The 12,455-nt window shown below is 35.9% G+C and overlaps 1 protein-coding gene and 1 non-coding gene across 8 annotated transcripts in view; both read right to left on the bottom strand.

Moving 5' to 3' along the window:
* Positions 1-12,455, bottom strand: part of ANKRD30B (ankyrin repeat domain 30B) — a 192,964-nt gene that overhangs the window by 105,756 nt on the left and 74,753 nt on the right. For all 7 annotated transcript variants that reach the window (XR_007066151.1, XR_007066152.1, XR_935057.3 and 4 more), the window contains exons 33-34: positions 7,072-7,102; positions 3,925-3,997 (exon numbers count right to left, since the gene is read on the bottom strand). Coding sequence is in view for 3 of the 7 variants with exons in the window: in NM_001367607.2 (NP_001354536.1) it covers positions 3,925-3,997; positions 7,072-7,102 (104 nt within the window). In the remaining 4 variants the exon portion in view is untranslated. The remainder of the gene's footprint in view (positions 1-3,924; positions 3,998-7,071; positions 7,103-12,455) is intronic.
* MIR3156-2 (microRNA 3156-2) lies at positions 5,138-5,214 on the bottom strand. The gene has a single exon (NR_036153.1). It is a non-coding gene; the product is annotated as a microRNA 3156-2 (primary transcript).

Below are 12,455 nucleotides of genomic sequence, written 5' to 3'. Positions count from 1 at the left end.
TACTCTGTTAAATCTTCCCTTACGTATGATTCTATGATAATAGGTACTTTACTTTAAAACAATTGACAAATACTGATTACATTCATTTGATGTGTGTATATAATACCATTACATACCTATATTATGAGCAAAAATGTCAGAGTATTTCTAGAGATTAATAATTTCTACATTTCTTTGACAGTGTTGTAGCTTAAAAGTGATTCTTCTCTTTTAAGAGACAGATTAAGAACCATGTTCATATGATCAGAAACTTTAATTTTAATAACAAGTTTAAATAAAATGCTTATTTATACTCTATTATCAAAAATATTCAAAACAGCTACCAAGGTTATATAAAAGAGTAAGATAAATTAGTTAAATAACCTAAGAATATGTCAAATATTAAGTTAGAAATCTTAAACCAGAAACCAAAGAATCAAAAAGTAATAATTCACAATAAAGTTGGCAAGGCCTAAAACAGATTTCACTTTGCATTCTACAAAATTATAAGTATGACTAGATTAAATATAAGACATAAAGTTACTAAAAGAAGTAAGAATTAAATTTTCATTCCTTGTTTATAATTTTTTTGTTGACACACTATAAATGTACGTTTTGGGGGTACATATTATCACTTAATACATTCACATAATCAAATCAGAATAATTGAGATATTAATCACCTTAAGTATTTATCTTTCCTTTATGCTAGAAACATTCAAATTATTCTCTACTAGGTATTTTAAAGAGTACAACAAATTGCTCCTACCTATACTCGTCCTTATATTTTCTGTCAGCTTTTTATTAAAATCAGCTATAAGTCACTCAAAAACACCTGAGCTATCTTTTATTAGCTGGCTATGTTTTCTTAATTTTTATTTTAAATAATTTATATCATATCTTTTATTCTAGAGAGTTCCTGCTCTCATTTAAACCACTATTTTTGCTGTGCTTTTATAAGAATCTGTCTCATCCTCTCTCATGTAGTCTCTGTGTTTATCTTACCCTTCTTCAATGAATTATTTCCTATTATCCCCTTCATCTAATTTATTATTATACAAATATGTTGGTATCCATTAGATTTTTTTTAATCAAAATTACCTACGACAAAAATTTATTCTTACACAGTTTATAGTACTGTAGAAATAATTAAAATTTTAAAATTACATGTTATATTTTGAAATATCTCTTCACAATTTACAGTTGTATTAATTACCTCTTGTATGGAAAAATGTGAGAGTTTAGTTTTTAATAGTACCTTATTTAACTGGGTTTGCATTGAAATGGTATAGGTTGTTTCTATTCTGTGTGGCAAAAAGCTAAGAATAAATAATCGTATAAATTCTGCTTCTTCCAAGAAACAGAGAAAAAAGAATAAATCATGCGGGGGGCAATGATTGAGTAATGAAAATCATACATAGCAACTAAATAGAGACCTGTAAATAAATATGCTGACAATTGAGACAGAGATGCCCTCAAAAGCAGACACTGAAGAAATGTATTCTGTGATTAAAAAAGTCTGGGGTAAATCATTTTTTAAAAGGTGAAGGAGGCGGAAGAAACAAACAAGAGCCATGATGCGTCAATCATGAGCTTCAGTCGTGAAAGAAAAGGAGAAACAGCTACCCTAAGACATGTGATGAAATACAAATAATACAGACTTTTGTTAATAATATTGCTGATCAGTATTTACACTACAATTTGTTATTTTGTTAATACTTGTGTAATAAAGATTTTAATTTTAATATTACATAATAAGACAATTAGTTAAACATGGTCTTCAGCCAACACCTAAAAGCGAGAATATTCTTACTACAGAGAGAGAAAAAATTTAAAAATGAATGTTTCATAAACTTTTCACCTGAAGAAAGTATTGGTAATCAGAATTTTAGAGTAATGTATTCCTTGAAAAGATATGTTTAATAGAACATGAGTTTCGTCCTGGCTAACACGATGAAACCCCCTCTCTATTAAAAATAGAAAAGATTAGCTGGGCGTGGTGGCGGATGCCTGTAGTTCCAGTTGCTCTGGAGGCTGAGGCAGGAGAATGGTGTGAACCCGGGAGGTGGGGCTTGCAAGTGAGCCCACATGGCGCCACTGCACTCCAACCTGGGCGACAGAGCGAGACTCCGTCTCAAAAAAGAAAAAAAAAAGAACATGAGTTTCGGCTGGACGCGGTGGTTCTCGCCTGTAATCCCAGGATTTTGGGGAGGCCTAGGAGGGCAGATCACGAGGTGAAGAGATCGACACCATCCTGGGCAACATGGTGACACCCTGTCTCTACTAAAAATACAAAAATTAGCTGGGCATGGTGGCATGAACCTGCTGTCCCAGCTACACAGGAGGCTGACGCAGGAGAATTACTTGAACCAAGAAGGCAGAGGTTGCAGTCAGCCGAGATCACGCCACTGCACTACAACCTGGGCGACAGAGCAAGACTCCATCTCAAAAAAACAAAAAGCAAACAAACAAAACATGAGTTGAGACTAAAATATATTAAATTTTTTAAAATCTGAACTCCACTTGGGGATACTAGAAAATATAGTGTAATCTTCTTTCCTATTTACTACATATCTCTGATTTATTGTCTTCTTATTTATGACATATTTTCTCAAGATAACGCACATTAATTTATGCATTCTAAATATTAAAAGAAAATATAAATTTAAGTCATATTTTAGAAACGCATTAGATTTAATTATAAGGTATATTATGCATATTATCTTACTTGTAACATTCCATTACATAAAAATTCATTTGCTTATTTATTCACATTGAAAACCGCTTAAAATGCTTTTTACAGGCAAGACTGTATTCTGGGTACACTAGGATGCACACAAGTATGTTTTCTAACCTGCAGTATCTCATAGTGATGCAAGAGCTCCAAAACGATTATTTAAATAACTAAATACAAAATCTTCTGAAATTTAAAATTTTCAAATGTGATCAAAGATCTTTGAACAATATGTTTAAAAACTGCAATTTAAAAACTCTGAAATTAAAATCTTACCATATGCTTATTAAGAGTCTCTGCTTCCAGAACTGGTTTTTTACTTGGGGTGAAACCTGCATTCTTCATTTAGTTGAAGAATTTAAAGTATACTTTTAATGAAATAACTTAGAAAACATCCTCACATGCCTTAATAATACAGATTCTGAGAAAGAGAATTTACATTTCTAAATTTCTAAATTATATTCAAAATTAGAGATAAGGTCTCGCTATGTGCCCACACTGGTCTCAAACTCTTGGGCTCAAGCAATCCTCCTGCATCAGCCTCCTTGGTAGCTGGAACTACAGGCATGCACCATCATGCCCAAATAAATTTTCACAATTTCTAATATTATTTTGGTGTTTAATTAAAGAACCAAGAAGAGAAACTGATAAAAAGCTCTCTCCTAAAAACTACATGATATCAAAATAATATGCGCCAAAAAAACCTATATGCTATGTGGCACAGTTTCAGAACTGAAGTTTATCAGACAGATTCCTTGATTACTGTAATAAGTAACTGGATCCATTAAAGATAATTTTAAGGATGAGGTGTTTTTAAAGTTACAATAGAATAATTTTAAAAGTCACAGTAAGTTTACTTATGCAAAGAAACCTTTACCAGATTTTATATATTCTCTATTGTGGAAAAGTTTTTTCTAATATAATGTTCCTGTCACTATGTATTTCTACAGCCCATTCCGGTTTTTGGCCCTCACACCCTCAGAGTATTTACCAATCATTTGTTATTTACTGAAGTAAAACAAACAAACAAAAAAACAAAAAAAAAACTGTTTAAATCAACTACTCATATTTCTATAAAATGTTTTTATGTGACCAACTTTATATTACCAACATGAAATTATGATACATACACCACTGCTAAACATGAAAAGTAAATACTATACAGAATTAGATTCCAACTGAGAAAATCAATTTAACAAGAGACTATTTTACCTTGGTAGTAAGATTAAAGTCTTCCTCAACTTTTGTAGACTGTGAATTTTCAGTAGTCGGTTTGCCAAAAAGACTAGAGAAAAAAGATAAAACAAAAATGAGCAAATTCATATATTTAAAAAGAAAACCTGCCAGTTCATATCTTAGTGCTCACTCCAAAAAATGAGAACAAAAAACAAAATCTGGGGAAAGATCAGTCCTCAATATATTAAATCATGTTTCTTGGCATAATTAAAATATGCCATCTGGTTTTCGTTTTTTTTTTTTTTTTTTTCCGAGACGGAGTCTCGCTCTGTCGCCCAGACTGGAGTGAGATGGCTCGATTTCTGCTCACTGCAAGCTCTGCCTCCCGGGGTTCATGCCATTCTCCTGCCTCAGCCTCCCCAGTAGCTGGGGCTGGAGCCCGCCACTGCGCCCGGCTAATTTTTTGTATTTTTAGTAGAGACGGGGTTTCACCGTGTTAGCCAGGATGGTTTCCATCTCCTGACCTCGTGATCTGCCCGCCTCGGCCTCCCAAAGTGCTGGGATTACAGGCGTGAGCCACCGCGCCCGGCCCCTCTGTTTTTAAAAAAGATTGCATTTACCTATTTTTGACTCTATCTCTCCAACCTGTAACATCCAATGAACACTCACTCTTAGTTCCATAAAAAATAGTGACCGCCAATATAATTGGCATACCCTGAGTATAATTAGTCCTCACAAGCTGTCCTCTATGATGAACTGAAAATGTACTTAATGGCTGACATAACTTTTGATATCTAAACTGGAACAAACTTGATAACCTAAAATGAGGAAGAAAGGTACAGTTACCTTGTCCCTTATCCATTGTCTATCTCTGATTCAAAGACTAATCTGTGTCACTGGAAAATGACATTCTTTGTTTTTCAGCATAAAAACCACTTAAAAAGGCCTTGTTGCTTCCCTTCACCCTAAAACGCTACAAGAGAGTGCCCTGAAATATCTGAAATGTTGAAAAGCTGAACCTACAAATGTCAAAATACAAATCTATATTTGTTATTGGGAATATTTTTCTCACAAAAATTGAAACATTAAAAGTAAGAAAGTCTAACTACTTATTTTATACTTTTCCTTCCTTGTTCAGGTCTACATAAACTAGCAAAGCCTTAAAAATCTTCGTAGGTACTTATACCCAAGGAGAGAGACTGCTAGAAAAACTGAGTCCTGATAGTTGGATTTCTCTAAGTACTATATATACAGAGAGAAAGATCTGGAAGTGGGAGCCACTATATATAGTGAAAGTGTCTCCCACTTCCAGATCTTTCTTCTGCAGAGCTTCATGGCAGTCTCCAACCTTTAAATATTTAGCTCATCTAAGCACAGATTACTGAAAAGATAAACTCAATGACCAACCAATAAGCTCTGTATTTACCTGTTCCTGAAAAACAACTAAACAGAGTCTCAGTCATGTTACCAAAAACCCAACTGAAGCTCCATGACTAATTTGACAGCCAATCTTCCCCCTGCTTTACATGTACATGGGTAGGACATCAGAGGCTTGGAAAAAGAGGCAAACGGGAGGGGACACCTGCCTTAGGCCACAGATCTATGTAATTCAGCAACCTTCAATCCCCTAGCACTGAAGGGGCTCTAAGCCACTCCTGTGAGATTTGGGGTGAAAGAACAGAATAGGACATTTCTATTCTGATTGTGGAGACTTTTCTGAGTTGGTCTTTTTTTCTAAATCTTTCAATAGAAATCTTGAAGTTTGCCCATTCCTCCAATTAAACAAGCAAAAAAAGCAGCAATCTATTCAGGACTTCTTTGAACCCTATTTTAGTATGCCTTTCTAGATAACTCCCAATGTCTTCTGTGTTTTTGGTCCTCTAATTTATCTTCATCAAACTTGTCATAAGATCCAATATTCTGATCTCTTTGGTAAAACCCTTACTCCTACCAATCCTGGGATTGTTTCTCTTCAAACTTGGCCTTTCCCTGATAATTCCATTCTTATCTACTTCTACTGGGTTTTCCAGCTAATTCCATTATTCTTTTCCATTTGTTTAATCAGATCCATCCCCTTTTCCTTTCTATTATTCAAACACTCACTTACATGATGATATAAAAACAAGAGTAATGGGCTTTGAAATGAGTTTAAATATTACTTCTGCTACCTCTTATATTTAAATAAGTCATTTTGAGTTTCAGATTCTCCATGTGAACAACAATTTTTCCAGGATATTAAATAGAGTTTAAAATATGAAAGTATTTTGATTAGTCTCCAAGAGTCCTTAAAATCCTAAAATTCCATGTGCTTTAATTTTAGCTATAGAAAAATGGGGCTGGCAGAAAGAAATAAAATAATAGAAGAAAAGAACACCAAGGAAAGCAGAGAAGAAAGTAATCAGGAAAAGATTATAAATAAGTCATGAAAGAAGAGAAAAGACTCTAGAAAAGAAAATGAAGAGTGCATGCAACTAAGAGGGGACTGCTTTGAAGAAGAACTAAACTAAGAAGTCAGTAAATAGAGAATTCTATAAGAAATAGCCTCTAAATATGATTAACATATCTATATGTAGATATTCTCCACTAAGAGTGAAATAATCCATCTATAGGATTTACCTGGTATTGCATATGAAACAAAAGCCTATGTCTTGTGGCCACAGCTAAGTAAGATCTGCTCTAAAAACGTTGGTGATAAAAACAAGGTACTGGTTACCACTTTAACGGTTAAACATGTTAGAACAAAGTCTTGGATTAATCAATGTTCTATGGGAAATCTCTAAAAAGAGTTAACATATAACAAAATGTGACTTTGTGAATTGATCCCATCTGGTCCTGTACCTTGATCCTAGTGATCCACAGGTCTCCATCAATCTATGCCAAGGGGGAAGGGAAGGGATTAGGGAGCAAGGTAAGCAGATGGCAAACTCAAGGGTCAGCTACTTTTTAGCTATGACATCATAGGCCAATTAATCAACCTCTCTGAATCACATTTGCCTGATTAATACAAAGTAGGTGACAGTAGCACAGATGCTTTGCAAAGCTGTGTGATGACTATGTGAGATGATAAATATTAAGCACATAATACGTTGTCTAGCCCAGAGTAGAATACTCAGCAGATAGTGATTTCTTTTCTCTATATTTTCTGAGTTAACATATACGTTTTAAAAAACCGCAAAGTCTTACCTGAATGTGGACTCTACAGAACTCACATCCTCTATTAAAGAAAAGAGTAAAATACATTAAATCAACAAATATAAATAAAAAATACAGAATATTAAAAACATAAGAGGGCACGATGGCACATGCCTGTAATCCCAGCTACTTGGGAAGGTGAGGCAGGAGGATCATCTGAGAGGTCCAGGAGTCTGAAAGCAGCCTGGGAGACATTGCAAGACTTCAACTTAACTTAAAAGAATCACGCACACTTTCATGCATGATTAAGGTCTTGGTTTAAAAAGCATAATACTCTGACACTTTGTTACAAAGACTCAGATGATTTGTTACAAAGCATTCTTTTGGGACCATACGTTGAGACTATAGTAAAATTATTATTAAGTATACTATTGGTAGGAAATTAATGCATTAAGAATGCTTATTTCCCCTCCTTTGTAGTTCTCAAATGCAAGGAAAAATGGAATTTATCACAATTTGATCTCTGCAAGTGAACTACAGTGTACAATAGTCATCATCCAAACAGAACCCTATAAGACTGACAGAAAACTGTATTATTAGCAGAATTAGTATAAGTGGACAGTGTCAAACTTAGAAAGTATAATTTCTAGACAAATGGACTAGAAGCAGTTAGAACAGAGTATACAGTAGTCTCTTATCTGCTGTATGTGTAGAAAGAAACACACACAACATGATTTCCCTCTGCTCTCATACCAAAATCATTAAAACAGAAGACATCTGCGACCAAATGTGTGGAGGATTTTCTCCACCAACAAATAAGCAATGAATTCTGTAGAAAAAAACAGCTGACTGTCCTCTATTTAATTCCAACCCTGTCTATCTAGAAATAGTCTCAGATCCCACAGACTGAGTGCTCAGTCTCACAAGACTTCCCTCACACACCAGTTGCAAATCTGGGTCTCTTTAATTTCTGTGATTTCAGTTACTCATGGTCAATGATAGTCCAAAAATATTAAATGTGGAATTCCAGAAATATACAAGTCATAAGTCCTAAATAATGTGTCATTCTAAGGAGTACAATGAAATATTAAGGCATCCTGTTCCATCTCATCCAGGTCATGAATCATCCCTTTGTATATGCTATCTGCCCATTAGTCATCAAAATGGTCTGTTCCTGTATCCCAACCATCAACATTATCATGGCTCAATGATCCAGGGTCACATGAAGCAGATGATCCTCCTTCTGATGTGTGGTCAGACAGCAAGAAATAATTAGTAGCCTAACACCACATGACAACTCCTACCTCATTCATCTGACTTCATCTCATCACATAGGCATTATATCATCTCACAGTCATCACAAGAAAAAGAAGGGCGAGTACAATACAAGACACTTTGAGGGACCATATTCACCTAACTTTGAGATTACAATATATTGTTATTGTTATATTTTATTATGAGTTCCTGTTAATCTCTCACTGTGCCTAATTTATGAATTAAACTTTATCACAAATATGCACTTATAGAAGAAAAAAAGCATGGATGTATAGGGTTCCATACTATCCACAGTTTCAGACATTCAATGGGTGTCTTAGAAAATACACGCCTTGGATAAGGATGAATTACTGTACTTGTGTGTGTGTGTGTGTGTGTGTGTGTGTGTGTGAGAGAGAGAGAGAGAGGGGGAGAGAGAGAGAGAGAGAAACAATACAGATCTCCACTCTCCACAAGAAGCAGATAAAAAAGACAACACTTTTCCTCACACATGACCCTTAGGTTTTGACAATTCTGGAAAAATGCTGGCATGTGTACTCCCCAGTCTAGACAATTTCCTAGACCCTGTGTATATATGCTGCTTTAGTTGCAAAAAGTTAGGTAGGATCTTGGGAGATTTCCTCTTGGACTCCAGAAATATTAACTACATCAACATTATACCTAACAACTCTAAAATAATTCTTTTGAACAGATTACCACTGTAGAACTTGTAAGTTAAATCCAATTGACTTTTCAGTTATAATCTTACTGCTGAAATTCTCATATTTAAAAGAAATTTGCAACATCACTTTCTCTGACTCCTCTCCTACTTTTCATTAGCCACTGCTCAGTCTCCTTTACCAAGTCCTGTGACTCTGTGAAATGTTGATACTCCCAGGATTTTGTCAATGGCTTTCTTCTTATTCTACATCTTCTGCATCATGGATAAGCTCAGTGAGATCTATGGCTTTGCTTAATAATTATAATAAAATTATTCTAAGCCTGCATCTCCAACCAGAGTTCTATCTCCAGCTAGAAATACGTATAAACCAATTACCTACTGAAAATATCCCACATGAATGTTTCATTGAACTCAATATGTAAAGAAAACGGTTGGTCTGTCCCATGACTGTTTGCACTTTTCTGTTGACCTGACAATTTCTTACTCCTTCCCCATGAGCATTCCCCATGTGGAAACTTATGAATGACCTGAAATTTCTTCTCTCCCCTAGCTTTTTCAAATCAATAATCACTAAATCATATTAACTGTACCTCTTTTCTGCATTTGCTTTATCTTTCCATTGCCACTGGAAATACAAACTTATTTATTTTATATTTATATTTCCTAGTTAGACATGGCCTCTTAACTGATGGCTTTCACAGGAAAAAAGCAACCCTACCTGTAGGGGATCGGACAAAGTGGTTAAAAAAATTATAAAGATAGTTATAGGAAATAGACACAAACCTTCTTGGAAGGCCGGGGGGTTGCATAGCTTCAGTAAATGATTTGGCTGAAAACAGCCTAATCTTCTTTACTTTGAGTTGGTAGCAATAGAGCAAATATCTAGGGAATGTGGAGGAGTTTATCTAAATACCTTGTTTACTCACGTGGTCCTAAGACAAAAGTTTGATCATCCGAGGGTGCATGATTGCTTTGTACTGGGGGTTGGCAATCTTAATTACCCTCTAGTGATGTTTACTCAACAGTTTTGTCATTTAATCTGTACTAAATAAATGTGAACTTTGCAGGCTTATCGAGGCCAAGAATGCAGACTCAGGCAGCAGAACCCCTTAGCTGCACTGACAGGCAAAAAATCTGTTTCAGTATATGTCTCTCATCTGTCACTTAGGTCAGTGTCCATGGGATGGACCCGGCAGGTGGCAAGACAAACTATGCAAAAGGATCGTGATGGAACCCTCAAATATGAAGGTGAAAAGAACTGCACAGGCAGCGAGTAAGTCATTGGTGCCTGCTCAGGATTTCCAGGTTCGGGGGAAATTGTTCAGGCGAGGGTTTCATCATGGGACAACAATTATCAGCACAAAAGAAACAGTATATGAAAGTATTGAAAAAGCTGCTTAAAGCTAGTGGAGACTTGGTATCGTGGTCCCTCAATTAAGGGACACAATGCAAACTGTTGTATTCCACAACCCATGGTTATGGAATTCCAAATTCAGCTTACCAAATGGATTTTAGACAAAGTTTTATAGGAGTACAATCACACCTATTTCTTCACATGTTATCTATGACTGCTTTCATGCTACAATGGTAGAGTTGAAAAGCTGTGATAGAGACCACATCACCTAATATATTTCCTGTTTGGCACTTTACAAGAAAAGTTTGCCAATGTCTGGTTTATACCATGACCAGAATGCTCTGATACTTAAATCTAATCTTGGGACTCCCCTGCTCAAATAATTCCAATGAATCTGTGCAGAAAACATTGCTGGCTTCCAATGCATAGAAATTATTTTTTCTTTCTTACAGCAGAAACACAAGTTTATTTACATATTTATTATTCCATTACTCCCATCTCATCTACAAAATGAGAAATCATTATTCTAAGCTAATCACAGTAAGAACATTTGCTTTTCTAGTGACTGGTTTACAAATGAGTATTTGTACTCAGAGGCTGATGGAGGAGAATCACTTGAGTCCAGGAGGCAGAGGGGGTAGTGAGGTAAGATCACACCGTTGCACTCCAGCCTGGGCGAAAGAGGGAAACTCCATCTCCAAAAACACAAATATTTAAAATGCATTCCAGTATTTTAAATATTTTCATTTTAATTTCTAATATTAGTTGAAGCAGTAAATATTCCCACTTCAATAAAAGCTCTCTGATATAAGCTATCATTTGATGTTGACTTTCAGTGGCTATGAAAGACAGCCTAATTAAATGTGTTTTAGAGTTAAAATCGCAAACTATGAAGCCTGAAATCAAAGCGGAGCTAACTGTATTGAGTACACCTAAAATATAAGATAAGTAAAAAAAAAGGAAGTTCCAAAATAATATGTACAGTGTACAACTATTTATTGAAAATTTAAGACATGAAAACAAATTCTAGACATAGTCTAGAACCACACACATATGTGGTGAATTTCTGGGGTTTTGTTTGTTTGCTTGTTTGCTTTTTGAGATGGGAGTCTCACTCTGTTACCAAGGCTGGAGTGGCACGATCTTTGCTCACTGCAACTTCTGCCTCTTAGGTTCAAGCAATTCTCCTGCCTCAGCCTCAAGAGTAGCTGAGATTACAGGCACCCACCACCACAACCGGCTATTGTTTGTTATTTTTAGTAGAGATAGGGTTTCACTATGTTGACCAGGCTGGTCTGGAACTCCTAACCTTCAGTTATCTGCCCACCTTGGTCTCCCAAAATGCTAGGATTACAGGCATGTGCCACCATGCACAGCCTGTTGTAACATATTTTAAACATGCATGGGAATGACAACAAAAGCTAATTCAGGCTGTTTTGTACCTCTAGGCAATTAATTACAGTAGCATAAAAAGATACTAAGGCCAAGTGCTTTAGAGTCACGCTTCTAAAACACCGTGTCTAGCAAAGAGTCATCAAGTAATGATTTTTAAAAATTATAAGTCACACACGCACACACACACAATCACCTAATCAGAAAAACAAGAAACCGATTTTCTTTAGATTCTCAGAGTGACAACACTCACAACTGTCATGTCAGCAAGTGAAACTTTATTCAAAGTAAAGATCAGAATTCCAATCAGCATTTGAACCACTGCAAATATTTCACAGTGTCAAAATTCACCTGCCTTAAAACCAAGCACGTGGCCGGGCGCGGTGGCTCACGCCTGTAATCCCAGCACTTTGGGAGGCCGAGGCGGGTGGATCATGAGGTCAGGAGATCGAGACCATCCTGGCTAACAAGGTGAAACCCCGTCTCTACTAAAAATACAAAAAATTAGCCGGGCGCGGTGGCGGGCGCCTGTAGTCCCAGCTACTCGGGAGGCTGAGGCAGGAGAATGGCGTGAACCCGGGAAGCGGAGCTTGCAGTGAGCCGAGATTGCGCCACTGCAGTCCGCAGTCCGACCTGGGCGACAGAGCGAGACTCCGTCTCAAAAAAAAAAAAAAAAAAAAAAAAAAAAAAAAAAAAAAAAAAAAAAAAAAAAAAAAAAAAAAAAACCAAGCACGTATAGAAATTGCAAATTGG

The sequence above is a fragment of the Homo sapiens genome, chromosome 18 (genome assembly GCF_000001405.40).
Source record: "Homo sapiens chromosome 18, GRCh38.p14 Primary Assembly".
Classification (NCBI taxonomy): Eukaryota; Metazoa; Chordata; class Mammalia; order Primates; family Hominidae; genus Homo; species Homo sapiens.
Note: the sequence above shows the minus strand (reverse complement) of the source record. Positions and strands in the feature narration are given on the sequence as shown.